The 25,615-nt window shown below is 34.2% G+C and overlaps 1 protein-coding gene across 4 annotated transcripts in view; it reads left to right on the top strand.

Moving 5' to 3' along the window:
* NCKAP1 (NCK associated protein 1) overlaps window positions 1-25,615 on the top strand; it is a 129,343-nt gene that overhangs the window by 41,272 nt on the left and 62,456 nt on the right. For all 4 annotated transcript variants that reach the window (NM_001437266.1, NM_013436.5, NM_001437267.1 and 1 more), the window contains 9 exons: window positions 1,348-1,485; window positions 2,299-2,347; window positions 8,000-8,156; window positions 10,959-11,015; window positions 13,804-13,900; window positions 14,259-14,365; window positions 15,810-15,942; window positions 18,271-18,352; window positions 20,235-20,293. In NM_001437266.1, the coding sequence (NP_001424195.1) occupies window positions 1,348-1,485; window positions 2,299-2,347; window positions 8,000-8,156; window positions 10,959-11,015; window positions 13,804-13,900; window positions 14,259-14,365; window positions 15,810-15,942; window positions 18,271-18,352; window positions 20,235-20,293 (879 nt within the window). The remainder of the gene's footprint in view (window positions 1-1,347; window positions 1,486-2,298; window positions 2,348-7,999; window positions 8,157-10,958; window positions 11,016-13,803; window positions 13,901-14,258; window positions 14,366-15,809; window positions 15,943-18,270; window positions 18,353-20,234; window positions 20,294-25,615) is intronic.

Raw genomic sequence — 25,615 nt, 5'->3', positions numbered from 1 at the left:
TTGCCAATAAGGTTGACAGACTCTTAGCTAGATTAACAAGGAAAAAAGAGAGAGAGAAGATGCAAATAACCACAATTAAATGAGAAAGGTAATATCACAACCAATCCCACAGAAATACAAAATATTATCAGAGACTACTAGGAACATCTCTGTACACACAAACTAGAAAATCTAGAGGAAGTGGTAAATTCCCATAACATAACAACCTCCCAAATTTCCCAGGATTTAAAAAATTACATTATTTAATTTTTAAAACATTCTTAGTTGGCTACGTCAGAATCACTTTGTGTAGCTTAATAAAATGGTAGATTGTGGGGTTCTGTTTCCAGAGGTTCAGTTTCACTAAATTTCAGTTACAGCCCTGTATTCTGTATTCAGAACAGACTTCTCTGGCATTCTGTGTGCAGTCAGATTAAAGAATCACTCTTACAGCCAGGCGTGGTGGCTCACGCCTGTAATCCCAACACTTTGGGAGGCCGATGCAGGCGGATCAGGAGGTCAGGAGATCGAGACCATCCTGGCTAACACGGTGAAACCCCGTCTCTACTAAAAATACAAAAATTAGCTGAGCGTGGTGGCGGGCGCCTGTAGTTCCAGCTACTCCGGAGGCTGAGGCAGGAGAATGGCGTGAACCTGGGAGGCGGAGCTTGCAGTGAGCTGAGATCGCACCACTGCACTCCAGCTTGGGCAAAAGAGCGAGACTCCGTCTCAAAAAAAAAAAGAATCACTCTTTACAGAATTTTTAGGAAGCAGGGATTAATAGCAAAAGACATTTATGAAAGCAAGAAAGAAACAGTTGAGATGAAACGTTAAATACCTTGATAATAAAGCTGTAATCAACAAACCCGTTGATAAAGAGAAGTTAAGTAATTTATTAAGATGAGGTACAGTGTATTATTTTTATAAGACATTCTTTAGAGAAATATAAAGCATGTTGAGTTTTATTAACACTTAGTCATATAACCCTGAAGTCTTTTTCTTTTGGAACTATCAGAAACTATCAGAATGGAAACTTGCATTGGCAAAAAGGTGACAGTGGGCTGTCTATCCCTTTTGGAATAAAGTTCCCAAGATTGCCACGTATTTTAACCTTTAAGAAAATAACATGAGTTTCTGACCTAAGCTTTTGCTCAAAAACGCAGAATCTGTGTAGCTTTTATAACGTTAGCAAAAAAATTCTAGAGGAGAGGAGCCACAACCCAACTCAGATATTATAAGGAGCATGGGTATAATTAGGCTGTGTTGTTTTATGATGGTATAGTTAGAAACACACAGCAATTATAGCTGCAATGTAAACAGAAAAGGAAAGAAAATTATTCTTCAGCTTTTTTTTCGTATTTTAATTAGTCTCTTTCAGATGCACTAATTTCTCTTCAAATGGTATATCCTCGAAGGAATCTTTCAGCTGACCAGTGGAGAAATGCCCAGTTATTGAGCCTCATCAGTGCACCTAGTACAATGCTTAATCCAGCACAGTCCGACACTGTATGGTTCTATTTTTCTCTTTTGAATGAAAATAAAGTGACTTTTAAAAAAATAATAGTTCAGTAATGCTGTTGCTGTTTGTTTCTAATTAGCATTAGCTTATTAGTTGAAGTTCATTATAAAATGTTCACTACTTAAGTCATATTGTTCAGATTTTTTAGCTTTAGAGTCTTAATGAAAACTGGTGATAAATTAATATGGTGAATAGTATGAGTACTTTTTTCTTTAAAGTTTAAAAGTTTGTTTTGCTTTATCATGGTAGAAAAATTTGAAGTATAAAGCAAAAACAAAAATCACCCCAAATCTCACCAAGTAGAACCAAGTAGACAAAATCATTGTTATATTCCATTATATTTTTTTCAGTCTATTCTCTGTATTTATGAACATAGGTGTCACACATATGGAGAATACACACACATAGCTACTGATTTTGGTGAGACAGTGAGTATTCAGACACATAAATGTCTTTTAACTTGACTAAAATTTTATCTTTTGGAATATTGTAAACTTTGAAATAGGCTTGAGAAATTGATAAGTTGTCATTTACCAGATTAAAGATAATTAGCAACAATATTTTTTTAAAGAGAGGTTTGAGGGTATGCAGATGTGAAAGGGGCACACCTCTCGTTGTTTATTGACTGCAAGTTTCAGTATAGGTAATAAAACTTTTATCCAGCTCTTCAAATTTGTTGTGGTAGTATTTGGGCGAAGAATTGGGTAGTAAGTTATCAGGAGAAAGGGAGGAGAGTGGCTCAATATGGAATATTTTTTAGAATTTCTTTTAACTGCAAATGTATATATTCTCTTTTTAAGATGCCTTGTGAATACCTCTCTTTGGATGCAATGGAAAAGTGGATTATCTGTAAGTAAAATGGGTTAGTGTTATGATTACTCCCCAGGCTTTATGTTTTAGAGAAAAATAGCAGGTGACATGGTTACTACCTCTGTGCTTAGCATTGTGCTAACCCATCTATGTCCATTACCTCTTTCAGTCCTCATATTGATCCTATCAGAGTAGATAGCCTGTTTGTGGGTTTTTTTTCTTTTTTTTCTTTTTTTTTTGAGATGAGGTCTTGCTCTGTCATCCAGGGTGGAGTGCAGTGGCACAATCTCGGCTCACTGCAACCTCCGCCTCCTGGGTTCAAGCAGTTCTCGTGTCTCAGCCTCCCGAGTAGCCGGGACAACAGGCACACGCTACCATGCCTGGCTAATTTTTGTATTTTTAGTACAGGCGGGGGTTTCTCCATATTGGTCAGGCTGGTCTCGAACTCCTGACCTCAAGTGATCTGCCCGCCTCGGCCTCCCACAGTGCTGGGATTATCGGTGTGAGCCACTGCACCCGGCCAGGTAGTCTATTTTAAAGCTGGGGAATCTAAAGCTTAGGCCACACAGCTAGTGAGTGACAAAGACAAGATAAGAACCCAGCCTAACTCCAAGGCTCATGGGCTACGTTATATTGCCTTTCAACATAACCTTCAAAACTAAATTTTGGTTTTGCTTTTAATGATTATTTAAATGTCACATCCGTTCACTTAAAGTTTTTGGTTTTAATTCACTTCAGTTTAATAAATTACTCGTATGTTTGGCAGTTTTTTAGATGCACAGGAGATAAAAGTACTAGTTTCTGCTTCTAAGAAGCTTACAAACTATGAGAGAAATAGACACAAGGTTTTTGTTTGTTTGTTTGTTTTCCTTCGTTTTATTGTGAACATCAAGAAAGTTGAAATAATTGTAGAGTGAACACCCATAAATCTACCACCAAGTTTCTATGACTTCTAATAGCTTGTTGTATTTGCTTTTAAGCTGTTTGTTTATCAGCTTCAAAAGAGATTTTATTTAAACTTTTAGGTTCATGCATACATGTGCAGGTTTGTTATATAGGTAAATTGCATGTCATGGGGGTTTGGTGTACAGATTATTTTGTCACCCAGGTAATAAGCATAGTACCTGATAGGTCGTTTTTTTTATCCCAACCTTCAAGTAGGCCCTGGTGTCTATTGTTCCTTTCTTTGTGCCCATGTATACTCAGTGTTTAGCTCCCCTTATAAGTAAGAACATGTAGTATTTGGTTTTCTGTTCCTGCCTTAGCTTCCTAAGGATAATGACCTCCATCTCCATCCGTGTTACTGCAAAGGATATGAATTCATTTATTATGGCTGTGTACTATTCCATGGAGACACACAGGTTTAATACAGAATGAGAATTTCTGTAATATAGATAAATTCCTCCTACTCACCCCTAGGCTCACTGCCACAGGGGAATAATTTTGAAGTGTTTGTGTTTTTTCATTCTTACAGGTTTTGTTCTTGATTTATTAACCTTTAGAGAATAGAGTTGGCCCTTTATATCCTGGGGTTCTGCATCCAGAGATTCAGTCAACAGCCAATTAAAATACGGGAAAAAATTTCACAAAGGTCCAAAAAGCAAAACTTACTGCATAATGAGTATTACATTGAGTCCACGCAAATGAAGTGATGTGTAGGTATTGTATTAGGTATTACAAGTAATCTGGAGGTGATTTAAATTATGCAGGAGGAAGTGTGTAGGTTATATGTAAATACTACACCATTTTATATAAGGAACTTCAGCATCCACAGATTTTGGTATCTGTTGATGGTCCTGGAACCAATCCCCTACATTGAGAGATGACTGTATTTGTTGACTTTTTATTACAGTGTTTCTCAAACTATGGTGAAGGACTAGTTTTTCTTCTTTAATATTTTTTGGATTGATCCTTTAATAAAATAAAGAAAATGAATTACTAGAATTACCAGAAAAACAAAATAATAAAGACATAAAATACAAGCTCATAGTTTTTATTACTAGATTCAGTCTAACAGATTATTAAGTTTCTACTCCAAAATCACTGTGAAATATTTATGAAAATTTCTAAATACCCTGTTCCAATACTTAGTCTCATTATGGACTGATACTTTGAGTAGTGTGTTTTTAGTATGAAAGAGGGGAAATTTAACAATACTATCTGGCCGTAGCTATTTTTATTAATTATATTATTTTTTACATTGACCAGGTTTGTGATATTTATATTTTCTTCTATAAAGATAAGTGAAATTATCATGCTTTGTCTCATAGTTTATTTAGAAAAACAGCTTTCAGAGTTTTGATCTTGCTCGGTTGTGTGGTAATTATTAGTTGTTTTGTGCTTATGGATGTACAGATGAATAATTGAGTTAATTAGTAGAGTTAGCTGTCATTAGTGACTTCTGGATTTTGCTTCCCACTGGTCTTTATTTTAAACGGGAATGCTGATGGCATGAGTTTGTGTAATGAGCCGGTAAGTCGATCAGGAAGCAGGCTCCCCTAATGGGGAATATATGGGCATGGAGAAGGCAGATTTGGGATAACCACAGTTGCCAAAATAAGGAATGAATTTTGCTTCTTTCATGTATTTGAACCCTGAGTAGAGCTAATCTGGAGGTTAGGAGTTGCCTCAAATTCTGCACTTCTCTTTTTGGAACTACTACCCAGACTAGGATTTTTCTTCAATAGGTAGTCTACTTTCTTTGGACCTTTGTTCTGGATTAGTTCAAAGTGTGGTTCCTAGACCAGCAACATCAGCAACACCTAGGAACTTCTTAGATGTGCAGAATCTTGGTCCCTACCCAAGACCTACTAAACAGAAACTCTGCAGATGGATCTTAACAATCTGTTTAATGTACTTTCTCAGTGATTCTGGTGCAAGCTAAAGTTTAAGAATCACTGCTCTAGATTATAGCCCGATGCTAAGAGTTGTGCAGGACCTAGAATATTGAGGACCCAGCACTTGAAGTACAGATGTAAAATTAATTATCCTGATACGTATTTTAGGGTTCATTTTTGGGTCTGTTGATTGGACTTGGGAGACTCCTTAGGAAAGATTTTTTTTCCTATCTCCAGAGTTTTGGATTACTAATTTCTGCCTTGTTTTTTATATTGATAGTCCAATTTTATCTGTTTTCTGCCTTCAAAGATTTTCTTCAACTTTCTTGTCAAGACTTGGTCTTCTGTTTTAAGAGCTACTTTTAAATTTTTTTTTTTTTGTCCTTTCATCCTAATTTTGGTAAAGGAGATTGATGTGTAGTTTAATTAATAAGTCATCCCCCTAATCTTGGGCAATCTATTTTATTTTATTTTATTCTTTTGAGACTTGAGTCTTTTCTGTCACCCAGGCTGGAGTGCAGTGGCATGATCTCAGCTCACTGCACCCTCCACCTCCCAAGTTCAAGCGTTTCTCCTGCCTCACCCTCCCATATAGTTGGGATTATAGGTGCCCACCACCATGCTTGGCTAATTTTTGTATTTTTAGTAGAGATGGGGTTTTCACCATGTTGGCCAAACTGGTCTCAAACTCCTGACCTCAAGTGATCCATCTGTCTTGGCCTCCCATAGTGTTGGGATTACAGGTGTGAGCCATCATGCCCAGCCTGGGCAATCTATTTTAAATTCATTTGCCTTTTTTGGTCCAATTTAAACAAATAAATATACTTTAACTCATAACACGTATGTTAAAAACAAACACTTTTAACTTGTAAGTGATAAAAATTTTCAGAGAAACTTTGTATTAGTAGTAGCAAGTATTTTGTAAGTGTTAACGTACAAAGGTGTAAGACACTAAGTGAAATCTGATTTCACTTGATATTAGGGTGGAAAGTCAAGTACATAAGAGGATAATGTTTTATAAACAAAATTTCTCTTGAGGGCTCTTTAATCTTTCATACATGTATTCTGTTTCTTTGATTGTGTGCCAGATTGAATAATTGGCTTGTTTTAGGGGCCCTGTTGTATGAAAAATATTTTTGTATAGTTCAAGTCAAAGAAGTTAAATATGTGTGTATGATTCTACAAAATATGCCTACTTAGAGAGTTAGCTTGCTTCTCTAGTGACCCAAGAAGGAAGCTTGAGCTAAGAATCAAAAGATAAATGGCAAGTTTTATGTTAAAGTGTCAAGATAGTTGCACAGCTATAATAGGAGTTTAAACATGGGAGTGATTATTGAGAATCATAGGGAAGTCTCAAAGAAAATGGGATTGGTTTCTAACTGGCCCACTACAGAACCTTGTATATATAGTAGACACTGAGTAGATGTTCAGTGAATGAAAGATGAGGTCTTACGTCCTAGTATGGAAGACTAGAGAGGATATCAGTCAGCATGTATAAAATTATACATTTATATAGGATTTCCAGATTAGATAACAAAAGGTAAAAAAGATATTTAGAATTCATATAATAAAGAGCAACTTAATATATTGAAAGTATTGGACTTTAAGGATGAATAATTGGGGCTAAGTCCTAGCTTTATTACTTTAATAGTATTTTAGTAAAGTCATTGACCCTTCACTTCTTCAACTATAAGAAGCATATGGACCAGGTGCAGTTGCTCATACCTGTAATCCCAGTTCTTGGGGAGAATGAGGTGGAAGGATGGCCTGAGACCAGAAGATTGAGACCAGCCTGGTCAACATGACAAGACCCCATCTCTACCAAAAAGAGAAAAAAAAAGAAAGAATACCACCTGTCTTGTCTACTACACAGGATAATCATTTGAAATAATATATATGAGAAGACTTAATGAACTATAAATTGCTATTAAAAATGTGAGGATGCTATTAAAATGTGAGATGCTATGATTTATTCTCATGATTAGGAAAGTAGATTCTCTTTATGTATGTATGCATATTATATATATATAAATTATATATATATATTTTTTGAGACAGAGTCTTGCTCTGTCACCCAGGCCGGAGTGCAGTGGCATGATCTCGGCTCACTGCAACTTCGGCCTCCCGGGTTCAAGCGACTTTCCTGCCTCAGCCTCCTGAATAGCTGGGCGCACCAACACTCCTGTCTAATTTTTGTATTTTTAGTAGAGACGGGATTTCACCATGTTGGTCAGGCTGGTCTCGAACTCCTAACCTCATGATCCGCCTGCCTTGGCCTCCCAAAATGCTGGGATTACAGGCATGAGCACCTGGCCATTAAAAAAAAATTTTTTTTGAGACAGGGTCTGTCACCCAGGCTGGAGTGCAGTGGCGCAACCTCGACTCACTGCAACCTCTGCCTCCTGGGCTCAAGCAATCCTCCCACTTCAACCTCCCGCAGTGCTGGGATTAAAGGCATAAGCCACAGCACCGGGCCCCAAGATAAGCTTTATTTTTAAGTTATTATAACAACTGTAATGATTACTGCATTATGTTAATTAGAAATTTCTGATCTTTGGTTGAAAATATTTTATAAATGTTATTTTTATTAAAATGACTTGGTTCATAACCCAGAAGTGACATTTTTCCCGTTTTGTCAGTTCAGGTTCAAATAACTGGTTTTGCAGAATACAGAAAATTATAATTGGAAAAGAAACGTATTACCATGGTTTATACATATGTATTGTTACTGTCACTCAGAAGCCTCAATTTAGTGATCGTGGTTACGTTTCTGTATTTTTCAAAAGCTACACTGTCACCAAACTTTGGAATACTTGTACATTTACATTTGTATTTGCTTTCTTTTTATTTAAAGTTGGCTTTATTTTGTGCCATGGGATCCTAAATACTGACGCTACAGCACTGAACCTTTGGAAACTAGCTCTTCAAAGTAGCTCTTGCCTCTCTCTCTTTCGGGATGAAGTTTTCCACATTCACAAAGCTGCAGAAGACTTATTTGTAAACATACGAGGGTATGGCATTTTCATTTATTTTGTCTTTTTTGGAGAAGGGTGGTGAGTGAGTTATCTTTACTGAAGTTTTGGGGATAAAGGAGTAGTCACACTGTGCAGGAAGATACAGCCTATACCATCTGACTTGGATCCCAGGAAGTTGTTTTTAACAGTCATCCTGATAGTTAATAATCATGTTTTTTACAGGTAACTTCACATATTAAAAAAAAACTGAGGTTACCTGACCTTTCAAAACATGTAATATAGGAGAAGGAAGATATGTCTTCTTTTGCAAGTCATATATGATTTTAGATGCAAAAGTACCATATACATTTTAGAGGTTTAAAATTTTTATAAGTGTTATTTTAGAATAGGGTGTACTTGTAAAAGTATATGAAGCAATAAAAAATAGTTAATTGGATTAATTATAACCATTACAGAATTCATATCACTGCATGTAGGAAATCATGTTGTTTTTATTTAAATAATAGTATTCCACATTATTTATTTTCATTTATTTCCAGTTCAGCAAATAATTATCTGAAATGTGTTTCTTTGAAATTTTTAATAACTTTATTTCTCTCCACTTGAGATTCTGTAGCCAATATATAAAAGCCAAATTGAACTCAGACTTGGTGGCAATTATGAAATCTTTTAAAAATATCTAGGATCTGCTATACTTATGTTGAATATATAAGTTGGGCTTCCTAGCTTCAGATAACAGTGAAATTTGCTTATATTTATTTCACATCCAGTTGAATAATGACTTAATGACATTGAAATGAAATAAAACTTCTAGATATTTTAATGTATGTGTATATGTCTGACGCTAAATGTAAGCCAATATATCCCACATTTTAGTGTACATAAGAATTACCCCGAAATGCAAATTGAAATCCAGGTTCCTGAGCATCACCTCTAACCTCCTCTATCTGTGTCTTGGAGAGGTTAAAGGAATCTGCCCTTTTCTTCCCGAGTACTTTTTTGAGAGAAAATACAAACAGAAAAATACATACATCTTAGCTGTATAACTCAGTGACTTTGCATATGAAAACTCCGGCATCATCACCACTTAAATCAAGATGTAAGAACATTTCCATCATCTCTGGAGAATTCTTTTGTGCTTCTTTCTGGTCGGTACTGCCATGCCTAGTCCCCACTCCCCCCCCACTCCTTTCTCAAGTGACTACTATTCTGATTTCTGTCACCATACTGATATTCTTATGGCAGTGATCTGTCAGTCATATGATAAATAGTGCCCTATGTACTTTTCAGCTCTTATTTTAGATGGTGGAATACCCTGAAATATTATGTGCAAGATGGGCTTTGTCATTTTCTAATTGATTTAGATTGAAAATCATGAAACTTTTATTAATATCATGTACTAGCATACTGACAAACTCATTGTAGAATCATATGTAAATATATGTAAACATTTAAAACCAGTTAGCCTCTGTATATTGAGTGAACTTATGTATGGTGCAAGTAAATTTAATGGCATAGTGAAACCAGTTGTCTTTGTTATGCTTTATTAATAATAAATTTATCATTTGAGAATCTCTGTATTTAAAATTATGAGTTTGCATTTTTAATTTAATTGTGAATGATCATCCAGTTTAAAATATGAATTATCATCAAACCATAAGTATAAAAGTGTATTAATTATAGAGGGTGATGATTACAGAATTATTATATTTTGGAAATTTGCTCAAAGAATACATAAATCTTAGACCACTTAAACATAGAAGTTGGAGTCCATTTTAGTGTAAGAGATTTTTATTTATTTACTTTTTTTTTTATTTGTTTTTGAGACAAGAGTTTCGCTCTGTCACCCAGGCTGAAGTGCAGTGGTGTGATCTCAGCTCACTGCAACCTCTGCCTCACGGCATCAAGTGATTCTCCTGCCTCAGCCTCCCAAGTAGTTAGGATTACAGGTGCCCGCCACCATGCCCGACTAATTTTTGTATTTTTAGTAGAGATGGGGTTTCACCATGTTGGCCAGGCTGGTCTTGAACTCCTGCCCTCAAGTGATCCACCCACCTTGGCCTCCCAAAGTGCTGGGATTACAGGTGTGAGCCACCGTACCTGGCCATAGTGTAAGAGATTTTTAGAGAGGTTGTCAGGAAGATATTTTTTCTTTAACATTTTAGGAATTTTGAGTTTTTATATCTATTATTCATGAAATTATTTATTAGCATTTGTTTTCATGGTAGCATCTTTAAGCTGATGTTAATTAAATGTTTTTTTATTTGAAAAATAAGTTTTTTTAAAAAAATACATAGCTTAAAATCATATATAGTTCTCTTAAAATAATTTGAAGTCGGCAAATGCTTTTCTGCCTCAGTTTTCTCCTTCACAAAACCTTTTTATCCAAACAGTCATTACTTTTGATCACTAATATATATCCTTTCAGAATTTTTTCATGCTTAAAGATAGACTTGATTAAAAAGTCAGAAATGATAGCTTTGTCAGTACTTTAGACTTTTGGAAATCACTTCTGATGTTAATTACATCAGAAGTATAATTTCAGTGTCTCCATTGGGGCTTAAGGAAGTAATAACATTTAATAAAATGAAAATCTACATTGTGAAGTTTAATTTTATTGTTGGATTTAATATAATGTTACTTTTTTTTTTAGGAAGGCTTGACTGGACATCTAAGTGCTAGGAAAAAGTGTGGGTAGATTCTTCCATGCACTTCCAGTTTGATGGCCAGTTTCTGAATTGATAATGTCATTTTTAATTGACTTCTAGTATTAGACTTACTCATTTTGACAGTTATTGATCAAATTAAACTAACGTTCTAATTTGTTTTTGCACCTAGCTATAATAAACGTATTAATGACATAAGAGAATGCAAGGAGGCAGCCGTGTCACATGCGTGAGTAGTTTTATTTTATCCGTGGTAGCTTTAATCAAGAAAAATTCTTAAAGCATCATTTTGTTGAAGTGAGTACAGATTAATAGTATGCAAGATATGGTAGTAGAAGAGGGGGACTTTCAGTCAATGAGAATTATTAAGTATATTGCCTCAATATGTAGAACCTTGGAATTAGTGAAGTCAGATTTTAAATGTTTTTGAAGTGTTGATAAAATGCTATAAGGAAGTATCACACAAAGGACTCTTACTTTGGGTATAATCTCACTGCCACTATGCTCTGCATACCAATATGATTTTTGTACTACTACATGAAAATTAATATATCCATATAACTCTTACAGATAATATTTACTTTTTTTTTTTTTTTTTTGAGACAGTCTCACTCTGTCACCCAGGCTGGAGTGCAGTGATACCATCTCGGCTCACTGCAGTCTCCACCTCCCGGGTTCAAGCAATTCTCCTGCCTCAGCCTCCTGCGTCACTGGGATTACAGGCACCCGCCGTACATTCCCAGCTAATTTTTGTATTTTTAGTAGAGACAGGTTTTCACCATGTTGGCTAGACTGGTCTTGAACTCCTGACCTCAGTGATCAGCCTGCCTTGGCCTCCCAAAGTGCTGGCATTACAGGCATGAGCCACCGTGCCCGGCAAATATTTACTTTTAAGAGTACACCTCTTTCCCAATTTTAATTTCTTATATTAGTAAATATATAGATATCCTAAGTGAGAAATTAGTGTATTTTAAATCTTTGAACAACTTTCCAGTTTTCTCATAAAATAATTCTAAATAATTTGATATTTCACTTTGTTACATATATGATATACTTAATATAGAATATTTTCTCCAGTTAACTTAGGTACTATATACAGATAATATTATTTGATCTATCAGTATTTCTATATAAGGCAGAGAGAAGACAAGCAACACTCCATAGCGAAAACTATAAAACCACAGGAAGTTTTAAAATTTCAGTTTAGGCTATAAGATATTGGGAATTTAAACCATCTTTACTCATCGTATCTGTGCTATATCATTCCTCATGCATATTTTATTTACTTGAATGAAGTACATGTGCTTAATTTTTCAAAAATGATTTCTAGTGCAGATAACGTACTTTGGAGTTTGTTAGAATTCCTCTCTAGACTTGCAGAAATGCACATAATTATTATTTCTTCGTGGGATAGACGCTACTATAGGCAGACATATAGGCATAGCTATCTTTTATAAAGATCTTTTACAATTAAGGTATTTTTATTTTCCTCCTTCTGTTTATTAAATAAAATATAAGTAGTAAGCAGTGGTAACTTCTAGGACTCATTACCATGTGCCAGGCCCAAGTACTTTATAGACATTTTCTCCCAATAACCATCACAGACTCCTCACAGTAATCCTGTGAAGTAAAATAATCAAAATAACATTTGTTCATTTTCTTCTTGGAAATGACACGATGACTTTATTATTGTCAGTAAAAAGAGCTTGTCATTGAAATTAAAGTAACAGAAGCACTATATATCAGGCATCATGAAAGATTGTGCATCTTTTGAGACAGATGTCATCATACTTATTCTACAGATGAAAAACTGAAACTTAGAGTTGGAACCTAAGGTCATGTAGGGAGAGGATGGATTTTAATTTGAGTCCTCTGAAACTGATCTACTGTGTCACAGCGAAATTACTAGTGGTGTGTATTCTTTATACTTGGGTTTTTGGCATAGGCAACACACACACACACACACACACACACACCCCAATCTAAATTCTAAAACTTTCTTGGAGCAGTGTATATTTTGTGTAGTATGAGGAGTTGCTTGGAACATTTTATGATTTTTTTTCCTTCTGTTAATATGTGAGAATGTTTTCTAATCTTAATTTTAAAATAAGTAGTATATGAATATTTATGATTATCCCTTCCTTTCCCCATCTTTCTATTTTTGAACAAGAGTGCCAAGTAGCTCTCATCCCAATACCTTTATTGACTATAGCTCTTGTGTATTCAGTTTTGTATATTTAATAGGAATATAACTTAATAAGAATATAGATAACCAGATACTTAAGTTCTATTTATTAATTTCTTTATGGAAGTGACAAAAATGTATACAGTTAGTCAGTTTTTGCCTTCAAGGATTTTTTTTTTTTTTTGAGGTGGAGTCTTGCTCTGTCACCCAGGCTGGAGTGCAGTGGCATGATCTCAGCTCACTGCAACCTCTGCCTCCTGGGCTCAAGTGATTTTCCTGCCTCAGCCTCCCAAGTAGCTGGGATTACAGGCACCCACCACACCTGGCTAATGTTTTGTATTTTTAGTAGAGACGGAGTTTTGTCATGTTGCCCAGGCTGGTCTCGAACTCCTGAGCTCACGCAGTCTGCCCAAGTTGGTCTCCCAAAGTGCTGGGATTACAGGCATGGGCCACTGTGCCTGGTCACCATCAAGAACTTCATAGTCTATAAAGTGCTTAAAGCTACATGGTACTAAAATTGGATAAATTATTCATAAATAAATAGCTAGATGTTGGGAAATGCTTCTTGAAGGACTGGTCTTGAAGGTTGGGTAGGATTTTGATAGATGGAGAATAACAAAAGAAACATAGTTTAAAAAGCAACATAAGAAAGGCAGGATAAATGTAAGATTAGAAACTCACTTAACGATAGACACATAGAAGATGATTTTTATAGGAACTTTGGCTTCCTAAAAAAAGACTTTGGAAGTTGCACCTATAATGCTAGTTACTTTAATTGCCAATAATAATTTTAGTAGAAGCAGATAAACTATTATGGTGTCTTTCCCCATAGTGGTTCAATGCACAGAGAAAGACGCAAGTTTTTAAGATCTGCACTGAAGGAATTGGCTACTGTCCTCTCTGATCAACCTGGATTGCTAGGTCCCAAGGTAATTCATTTAATTATTATTTCAATAATTGTGCCATATTAAAATTTTAAAAAACGTTTCTAAGTGAAATTTTACTGAAATTTGAGTCAGGGACTACATAAAAGGATTTTTATATTTAGTGGAGAATGAATTTGCTGACTTGACATTCATACATCGTACCTCCCTGCATTCTTCTCCCTTATATGCATGCTCTCTCTCATACATACTTACAGGTTCTCTTGTGTCCTCTTCTGTTAGTCTCTTCACTCTTTTGAATTGATATTATCACTTCTTGCCAATGACTTTTCACATAGAAAGAGATTACCAGTTTTGTTTTTAATCTTTGAATAAGAATAAACACTTACTTTTTTTTAAACAGGCACTTTTTGTTTTTATGGCATTATCCTTTGCCCGTGATGAAATCATCTGGCTACTTCGTCATGCAGATAACATGCCAAAGAAGAGTGCAGACGACTTTATAGATAAGTAAGTTAGCAACATTTAAAAAAATATTTTCTGTATATAGATGCTTCTTGATTTACAATGGGGTTATGTCCTGATAGACCTATTGTAAGTTGAAAATATTGTTAAGTTGAAATTCATTTAGTACACCTATTATTACTGAACATTAGAGCTTAGCCTAGCCTACCTTCAATGTGCTCAGAACTCTTTTATTAGCCTACAGTTGGGCAAAATTATCTGGCAACATAGTACACTGAAGAGTATAGGTTGTTTATCTTTCTGATCACATAGTTGACTGGGAACTACGGCAGCATCATGAGAGAGTATCATACTGCCTATTGCTAGCCTGGAAAAAAAGTCAAAATTCAAAGTACAATTTGTACTAAATGTGTATCTCTTCTGCACCATTGTAAATTAGAAAGATAGTACATCCAAATCACTGTAAGTTGTGCACCATCTATATTCTGATTTGTGGGCTGGGGAATCTGGAGACTTATATTTGAAGCAAAATTATTTTGAAGAGCTTGGAATATTTGTAATATATCATTAGATGATATTAATTAGACTGCAAAGTCAAATTTAGTTTTAAATTAGGGCTTTTATTTTCTCGTAGTATGCTTTGTGGTGATAAAGTTTTTGTTTTCTTGCTATGCTCAGTAATATTTCTTATGGAATTCATTTTTTAAAACTATTTACTACACAAAACATTTAAATAAAAATCCTGTTTTTAGAGTTGCAACTCAGTGTGTCATTAAAATGTGTCTTATTTTAGTTCAGTCTCTCAATAAGAGTTAGAAAAATGGAGCAGAGAAATAAGAGCATACAGAAAAATTTTATTTCTTGCTAATCTTCTTTTATTTGAGATTTTTTGATGATGTATTTATAACATGTCCTGTTTATTTTTTTAATTTAAATTTTTTTTTTTTTTTTTTTTTTGAGACGGAGTTTTACTCTGTCACCCAGGCTGGAGTGCAGTGATGCCATCTTGCCTTACTGCAACCTCAACCTCCTGGGTTCAAGTGATTCTCCTGTCTCAGCCTCCCAAGTAGCTGGGATTACAGACACCCACCACCATGCCCAGCTAACTTTTGTATTTTTAGTAGAGATGGGATTTTACCATGTTGGCCAGGCTGGTTTTGAACCCCTGACCTCATGTGATCAGCCCGCTTTGGCCTCCCAAAGTGCTGTAATTACAGTCGTGAGCCACTGTGCCCGGCCCTGCTTATTTTCAGTTTGGATTTTCTGCTGTCGATTTTTAGCTTTAACTTTTTTTCTTTCTTCTTTTTTTCTTGCTTTCCATGATTTCTTTATTCATGAAATGATTTAAAAAGGAAGTAATTGACATTAAGTATTAAACAATGCCCTTTATAAGAAAAATACTTTTAGAAATAAGATTAAGGGCATCGAATATATTCTTTAATAATGATGAATTTATTATTTGAATATTTTTCTTGAAATTTTAAAAAAGGCACATTGCTGAATTAATATTTTACATGGAAGAACTTAGAGCACATGTGAGGAAATACGGACCTGTAATGCAGAGGTATTACGTGCAGTACCTTTCTGGCTTTGATGCTGTTGTCCTCAATGAACTCGTGCAGGTAAAAACTATCTCATACTATTTCCCTTTTGTTCCTTCCTTCCCACCTTTGATAGTATTTTATTTGTTTGTTCAACAAGCATTTATGAAATATCATGTGCCAAGTGATAAATCATGTTTATATTTTGGAGATCATTACCTAGAAGGGAAGAAACAGTTAGTTGTAGTCCAATGTGATAGGTGTTATGCATTAAGTATATATAAAGCTCAGAATGAACACAAGGAAAGACACAATTATTTATCCTGAAGATGGAGGTGTACGCTAACCAAATTACAGAGGGCCTTGGGAAAGAGGAGGTTAATCATAAATCAGGTGTACTACTTAAAAAGATCACCCTGGTTCAGTGTGGATGGTAGATTGCTGGGAACCAAATGAGGAGGCAGAGAGACCAGAAGAAAAATGACTGCAGTAGGCTAGATGAGAGGTGATGAGAGTCTGAACATGGGCAGTAGCTATGGAGATTCAGAAGAGATGATAGAGACAATATAATTGGTAATTAAGTATTAGAGGGAAAGTAGAATAAAAATCTTTTTGAAGAAGATTGTTAGAGGATGGCCAGTAAATAAAGATTTCATATAGACATTCCCATTTAAATGTCCAATTTTTTTTCCTTAATTGGTTTTTAGCCTTTTTTTGCTTTCCATAATTTATTTATTCAATATTTTTCATCTTTATTTAAATTTAAAAAACTTTTTATTCCAAATAAACTGACTCTAAGGAAATAATATTTTATTTTGCTTCACTTTATAGAATTACATGTTTCAAATGACTGTAAGCTAATACATAGTATAAAGAAAACAGTTAAGAATCCTCTTTATATAAAGACTTCTCTAAAGCTGCTAGTTTTCCAGAGAAATAACCATACTTTGAAGATCTCATTTTTTTCAAATCAACCTAAAAATATAATAAGGAAAAAAATTGTTCATGTAATTTTTTTTACCTTGAGTTACATGCTGTTACAAGCTAGTATTCTAAACTCTATAGTTTATTTCTTCTTTTATCCACTAGATGGAGCTCAGATACTTCTTTTCTATGGTCATTTAAAAAGGGAACAGAAAACCTGGGGTATTATTGCCTTACTATAATTTTATTTGAATAGTTATTACTTAACAGATAAGCCAGAAGCTTTTGTTACTGTTTATTATTTATTCATACTAGCATACAGTTTAAAAAGTAAACCAGAATTCCTGAATTACTTAATCTATTTTTATATAAAGTGGAGTTTACTAATACTGAGAAGATTAATTCTTAGCATTTCTTCTGGAATTATAGTAATAGTATAGTATCAGCAGCAATCATACTGATATTAGTAATTGCCAGATTTATTGATAGTGTATCTTACCAAATCTGTAGAAAACCTCTGTGAGAGTGGATATAGTTATCATTATTTGTTGAAGAAGAAATGCCTTATGTAATTTGCTCCTTATCACCAATACAGCTCATAAGTAATAAAGCCAGTAGTCAAACTCAAGTTTTGACTCCAAAGCCTGAGCATTTTACCACCCTCTTCTGTTGCAAAGTATATTCACAATGTTTTTCACCATTTGCTAGCATATAAATTTAGAACTAAGGTTGTAAACCTGTTAGCATAGTTGATTGCAATAGGTGTTAATATTTTATTGTGGTAAAATATATGTAACAAAATTTACCATTTTCATGATTTTTAAGTGTACAGTTCACTCGCATCATAAAGTTTTAAAAATGTGTTTTATTTATACTGTTTGTAAGCTAAGCATCCACTTTTTAAAAGGAATTTATTTTTTAGCATCCACTTTAAATACAGTTTATCAAATATTCATTTTTTAAGCTAGATTGAAAAGGATTTTTAGGTCTTAATTTTGTTGAGGCCTAACATACAGACAACAAAAATCATTCATTTTTAGTGCATGTTGTAAATTTTGGTAGCTGTATGCATTTGTGCAACTATTACCATCACCATATTCAAGACAGAACTTTTCCAACACCTTTAAAAGTTTACTTATACACCCTTATGGTACACCTTCATCATTCTTGCATAAGCCCCTGACAGCAACTGGTGTTTGTCATTATACTTTCGCCTTAAAAATACTTTTTCATATAAATTTTCCTATATAGTGTATGAAAAAATTACTTTTTAACACAAAATCATTTATTTTTTATTTCTTTCACTTAATGTAATGGTTTTGAGATTCGTGTTATGGTGTGTGTTAAAATTTCATTTCTTTTTTATTACTGAAAAATATTCCATAGTATGGGTATACCAGTTTGTTTATCCGTCCACTAATTGATAGACCTGAGTTGTTTCCCAACTATAGATGTTTTTAACGTTACTTTTTGTTTGTTTTTCAGAATCTTTCTGTTTGCCCTGAAGATGAATCAATCATCATGTCCTCTTTTGTTAACACTATGACTTCCCTAAGTGTAAAACAAGGTAATAAGCCTTTTAAATAAAAGCATATTTTCTTCTAATTAGATTTTCAAACTTGATTATTAAGGAGATAATTTACCAATTAATTTGGCTAATGATCTATTATCTTTTATCTTAATTTTGTTCTCTGAAGCAAAGATTTCCAAAATGGGTTTGTGATGCTATTTACAAAAATAATAATTACAGTTTTATATTTCTAATTATTAAGCAGGAAAAAAAGCATTTTGTAACAAAAACAATAAAACATTTGCATTTTGTAGCAAATCATATATTTGGTCCAAGCATACCAATAACAATATTTAATGCCATTTATAAAATGTTTAGTCTGTGCCAGGCACTTTACATATATATTATCCCATTTACTCCACATTCTTTTTTCAACACTGTTATTACTTTTGACAGATTTGGAAACTCTGGGTTTGAGGGTTAACCTCGCAGTTACTGAACATAATTTGCCAAGCTCTAATAGCTGTTAAGCAAAAGTAGGAATTTGAGCTCAAATCTGTCAATCTCAAAAATTGATGTCATATAATCACCTTGCCATTATTTGACACTCCATTCTAGTGGATCGATAGTGTGTTTTAGTTTTATAGTCTTTTAATAAAGGATATCAGAAACCTTGAAAACTTCTGAGTAATAAATGTATAAACATTTTTCTTAGTTCAATCTTTATTGCTACCACATCTAAGTAATGAAACTAAAGTAATTTTTTCTGGTGATATTTGGTTTATATAGAGTTATTTTGTGGAACTTCAGCATGCTGTCCAAAGTTTCTATTCGTAGGATCTCTCAAATTCTATTCAAACTCCTGTAAATTGACATGTAAGCACACTAAGAATCAGAGAGCTTAGGAGAAAAGCCTTTACTTCCCTTAGCACAACTGTCTCCTTTATCATCATCTTTACAGGATTTGAGAATTGTTTCACTGTCTTCACTCTTTAATTTTAAAATGTTTTTATTTTTTAATTGTAAAATACACATAAAATTGACCATCTTAACCATTTTTGAGTGTATAGTTCAGTAGTGTTAAGTATATTCATATTGTTGTACAACCAATCTCCAAAACATTTTCATCTTGCAAAACAAATTCTTTTAATGATTATTGAACAACAGTGTGCCATTTCCCTTTCCTGCTAGCCCCTGGCAACCTCCATTCAACTTTCTGTTTCTGTGAGCATGACTGCTCTAGATACCTCATATAAGTGGAATCACAGAGTATTTGTCTTGCTGTGACTGGCTAATTTCACTAGGCTTAATGTCCTCAAGTTCAGCCATAGTAGCATGTGTCAGAATTTCCTTTCTTTTTTAGCAGAATAATAGTGCATGATATTTATTTATTTTATTTTTGAGACCCAGTCCCGCTCTGTTGCCCAGGCTGGAGTGCTGTGGTACAATCTCGGCTTACTGTAACCTCTGCCTCCCAGGTTCAAGCAATTGTCCCACCTTAGTCTCCCGAGTAGCTGGGACTACAGGCACGCACCACCACACCCAGCTAATTTTTGTATTTTTAGTAGAGATGGGGTTTCACTACGTTGGCCAGGCTAGTCTCAAACTCCTGACCCTTAGGTGACCCACCTGCCTCGGCCTCCCAAAGTGCTGGGATTATAGGCATGAGACACTGCTCCCGGCCTCCATTGTATTTAGATACTACATTTTGTTTATTCATTCATCTATCAATGGAAATTTAAGTTGCTTCTACCTTTGACTGTTTGAATAATTCTTCTGTGAACATGGGTGTACATATATCTCTTTAAGACCTTGGCTTTAATTGTTTTAGGTATACTCAGAAGTAGAATTGTCTTAGCTCTTAAAATTTAAAATGTGCTTATAGATTGTGAAAACATTAATTTGCTTTGTAATCTTTTTTTTTTTTCTATTACTACAGTTGAAGATGGGGAAGTATTTGATTTCAGAGGAATGAGATTAGATTGGTTTAGGTTACAGGTAAGAATAACCTTTTATTGTCATTCTGTTTTGTTATTTTAGTTAACATGAAAAATTTTATAACAACTATAAAATATTCATTGTTATATACCTATTGAAAATATTTCTTTTGTATAATTAACCATAAAAGAAACATTTTGTACTAATTATTAAAGTTGGATAAATATATTAATAACTTAAGCCAATATGAGTTTTTGAATAGATTATTATAATTTTAAAATATCTAAAAATTTAAATCCCAATCTCTCTCTTGATTATCCTGATTCAAATATTTAATTCTAAAGTGAAAGCACAAAATCTTTTCTGAGAAAATATTTAAAATCTACTGTGGGCATCAGCAAACTTTTTCTAATAAAGAAACAGCTGCTAAAAAATTTTAGGCTTGCAGCCATATAGTCTCCGTCATCATGATTGCACTCTGCCATTGCAGTGTGAGAGCACCTATAGACAATACATAACTTAATGGGCATGGCTGTATTCCAGTAAAACTATTTATAAAAACAAGCAGGTAGCCCACAGGCCATAGTTTACCACCACGATCTGTACAAAAAACTTCCATTTTCTGAAAAACAAATAAATATTATTAGACTTAGAGTGTTCATTTAATATATGTCTCATATAAATAGTTCCTAAAGGCATTAAGAATGCAAGCCTAACACCTTGGTGTATACTGTAACCTTAATGATAAAAATTAGTTGCCCTGTAAATATTTTAAGTAATTATGGGAAAATGGCCCAGTGTTCTCAATAATGTGCATGTTTTAAAAATCCATATATTTTTAAATGATAATATAGTCATTTGACTCATTGTGAAGTCAAAACATTCAGTTTGCCCCTTTCCCAGTTTCATTCTCCAGAAATACTCACTTTTAATAACTGGCCTATATTTTTTTAGATGTTCAAACAAGTAAATTAGATAGTACTATGTACTGTTTTGCTATTTATTTTTGTCTTTTTAAAAAAATATTTACTTATTTATTTATGTTTTAGAGGCAGGGTCTTGCCCTGTCACCCAGGCTAGAGTGCAGTGGTATGGTTATAGCTCACTGTAACCTCAGGCTCGTATGTTCAGGCAGTGCTCCCACATCAGCCTCCTGAATAGCTGGGACTATAAGTGCAAGCCACCACACCCAGCTAATTAAAAAAAAATTTTAGAGACTGAATCTTGCTATGTTGTCCAGGCTGATCTCAGACTCCTGGCCTCGGTGATCTTCTCACCTCAGCCTCCCAAAGTGCTGGGATTACAGGCATGAGCCACAGTGCCTGGCCTGTTTTGCTGTTAAAAATAAATAAATAAAATTTCTATTTGTTTAATTAAAAAGAGAAAATATAAGAAGTATTTTTTTGTGGAAGCCATTTTTAGATGGATACAGTCTCAGGAATGACTCTCAGGATGACCATACTTTTCTGGCGGTCTGCTTAGTACTCTGAGGTGCTTTTGCTTTTCTTAGGTTCTTTCCTTCCAACCTCAAAATGCATAAGCACTTTTCTCTTTTTTGTTCTATATTCTCTAGGGAGCTTATTTTTAGAAATGAAGACTTTTATAAATAAAAGCATTAAATACCTTACCAGTTAGTGGGAGATCAGGGAAGTACACTTGAAATACCAACATCCCAAAATGTTAAATGTGTATATATTATAGGTTATTTTCTTATTACAAATAAAGTTTTAAAATTGACACCTCTTTGTTTTTAAAAAGGCAATGAAACAATACAAAAGTAGAACTTGTAAAAAAAAGAAGTGGAATTTCCTCTGCCAAAGGATATACATGTTTAAAACTTTGAAAGTCATTGTCATAAAGCTTGAACTGCTTCAATCTCCTGTTCTGGGTTTATAGGAGTGCCTAAACCAATACTTGGGCTCAGAGAATTTTAGAGATTTAGATGCATTTCAGATGCACCCTTACATTTGAGTTATTCATGTGAGAATTTTAGCCTTTTTCAGTCACTGCAAAATAAAAAGCATTGAGTGAACATGAAGAATGTAGACCTGATTATTCCTATGTGTAGATTTTTAAAGTTTTTTAAGATTTTTATAAGAGCATTATTAGCTAGCTATCTGATTTTTTTTTCATGTAATCTATACCTACTTGTGTTAGTTTCCTAGGGCTGCCATAACAAAGTACCAACTAGATGGCTTAAACAATAGAAATGTATTATTTCATAGTTCTGAAGGCTGGCAGTCTGAAAGCAAGGTGTTGGCAGGGTTGGTTTGTTTCAAGGACTGCAAGGGAGAACCTCTTCCATCTCTCTCTCCTAGCTTCTGGTGATTTGCTGGTAATCTTTGTTGTTCCTTGCTTGTAGTTGCATTACTCTAAAGGCATTCTCCCTGTGTTTCTTCACTTCATTTTTCCTCTTTGCATATTTCATGTTCAAATTTTCCCTTTTTATAGGGCTACCAGTTATATTTGATTAGGTCCCATTCAAATGACCTCATTTTTATGTGCTTAGCTCTGGAAAGACCCTAATTCCAAATAAGGTCACATTCTGAGGTACTGGGGGTTAGGATTTAGGCACATCTTTTCTTCGGGGATACAATTCAATGCATAACATTGCTGTTAACCACGTTTAGAACATGCAGTCACTCAGACCCTTTCTACTGCATACAGACCCTTTTTTTTTTTTTTTTTTTTTTAGTGACAACAGGACAATGCATACAAAGGAAGGAAAGAATGGGACATAACACTAAGCCAGAGAAGTGTTCACTAGAAGTAGAGAACAAAAGTGCAAGGTAGCAGGCAGGGTCCAGAATCTAGAAGGTTTACATAGGTATTGAAAAGCAGCTCAAAGGTGAAAGTTCCAAGCCTACAGATTAGACTGTAGGATACAGAAGATAAAATACTGAGCAGTATTATATAATCTGTAGAAAAATAGCACATTCATCTTTTGAGGATTTTATAATCTAGCTATGGAGACAAAGCATAAAAAATGTAAAAAATAGCAGCTGAAAATCTGAAAGATTAAGAGATGTCATAGACAGAATATGTTTATCAGTTAATTTCAGTCTTAGAAGGGATAAAGCATTTTTCAAGTTAAAATTGCTTTGAATAGGAAAAAGGAAAGGACAAACAATGAGTAAAGAGCAAGTAAAGAGACTTTTGAGTATAAAGGATTACTGTAAGAAGGGGAAAATATTCACAAGAACTATGAATGATCTGCCTTTGATCACTGACCTTTGGTTTCAGGTAGAAGTGCAAGAATTGTTAGGTAAAAGCACATGGCCAGAGAGTGGTGAAGAGTTCTATAGATAGCCAGTAGTGGTTGAGTAGAGCAGACCAGAAGAGTAAGCCTTTGGGAGAATTTTAGTAGTGTACTTTGTGCCTTCACTGGTGTCCTATTTAGTTTGGTTCTAAGGTCATTGCTTTTTTATAGGTCACTTTCATCTTTCTCTGTCCTTTTCCTACTCTTAAGAATTCTCTTTGTATTTTTGTCATTCTTTTCTACTTCCTAAGTGATCTCATTCTGTTGTGTATTCCATCAGTCCCTTAAGCATTTTTAGTTGCTCTTTCAAATATCTTCTCTCGTCTGTCTTCTAATTTATTCAAATTGTTTATATTCTTTTACTTAAACCTATTCTTTTTTAGTAACATGTTTCTCCCCCCATTGTTGTCAAGCAGTTAAATCATTATCTTGTTTTGTTACCATCCATTTCTTCTGAATTTGTTTTCACAATGTTATTTAAATTCTGATTTAATTTTTTTAATTTTAAATTTTTATGAATACATAATAGTTGTACATATTTATGGGGGTACATGTGATATTTTGATACAAGCATACAGTGTATAATGAACAAATCTGGGTAGTGGGAATATTTCATCACCTCAAACACATATCATCATATTGGAAACATTCCAAATCTACTCTTCTGGTTATTTTGAAAGATGCAGAAAATTATTAACTATAGTTGCCCCATTGTGCTATACTAGTTCTTATTCCTCCTAACTGTACTTTTGTACCCATTAACCAATCCTTCTTTATTCCCACTTCCTACCTTCCCTACTCAGCTTCTTATAACCATCATACTATTCTCTGCGTCCATGAGATCAATTTATTTAGCATCCACTTAGGAGTAAGAACATGTGACATTTGTTTTTCTGTGCCTGGCTTATTTCACTTAACATAATTTCTTCCAGTTCCGTCTATGTTGTTGCAACAGACAGGATTTCATTTTTTATGGCATAATAATATTCCATTGTGTATATATTTACCATTTATCTATTGATAGACACTTGGGTTGGGTTCCATATCTTGACGATTGTGAATATTGCTGCAATAAACATGGGAGTGCAAATACTTCTTCAGTATGTTGATTTCCTCTCTTTTGGATATATACCCAGCAGTGTGATTGCTGGATCTATTTTCAAATTTTTGAGGAACCTCAGACACTACTGTTTTCAATAGCGGCTCTACTAATTCACATTCCCACCTGCAGTATATGAGAGTTCCCCTGTCTCCACATCCTCGTTAGCATTTATTTTCTGTTTTTTGATAATAGCCATTTTAACTGGGGTGAGATGATGTCTCATTGTGGTTTTAATTTGCATTTCTCTGATGGGGAGCAGTTTAAAAATATATCTGTTGGCCACCTGTATGTCTTCTTTTGAGAAATGTCTGTTTAGCTCTTTTGCCCATTTTTAAAATCAGTTTTGTTTTTTTTTTTTTTTTTTTTTGCTATTAAGCTGTTTGAGTTCCTTATATATTCTGATTGTTAATGCCTTGTCTGTTGAATAGTTCGTAGATATTTTCTCTCATTCTATAGGTTGTCTCTTCACTGTGCTGATTGTTTCCTTCTTTGTTGTGCAGGAGCTTTTTAGCTTAATGTGATCCTATTTATCCATTTTTTTGCTTTTGTTCACTGTGGCTTTTGAGGTCTAACTCAAGAAATCTTTGACCAGACCAATATTCTGGCATGTTTCACCAGTGTTTTCTTCTAGTAGTGTCATAGTTTCAGGTCTTACATTTAAGTCTTTAATTCATTTTGATTTGATTTTTTTTGTATGATGAGAGATAGAGGTCTAGTTTCATTCCTTTACATGTGGATATCCAGTTTTCTCAGCACAATTTATTGAAGAGACTGTCCTTTCCCCAATGTATATTCTTGGCACTTTTGTTGGAAATGAGCTAATAGTAAATGTGTGGATTTATTTCTGGGTTCTGTGTTCCGTTTCATTGATATTTGTATCTGCTTTTATGCCAACACCATACTGTTTTGATTACTATAGCTTTGTAGTAGATTTTGCGATCAGTAATGTGATTCCTCCTGCTTTGTACTTTTTGGATTGTACTTTTCAGGATTGATTTGGCTCTTCTAGTTTTTTTTTTGT

This window comes from Homo sapiens, chromosome 2 (genome assembly GCF_000001405.40).
Source record: "Homo sapiens chromosome 2, GRCh38.p14 Primary Assembly".
Classification (NCBI taxonomy): Eukaryota; Metazoa; Chordata; class Mammalia; order Primates; family Hominidae; genus Homo; species Homo sapiens.
Note: the sequence above shows the minus strand (reverse complement) of the source record. Positions and strands in the feature narration are given on the sequence as shown.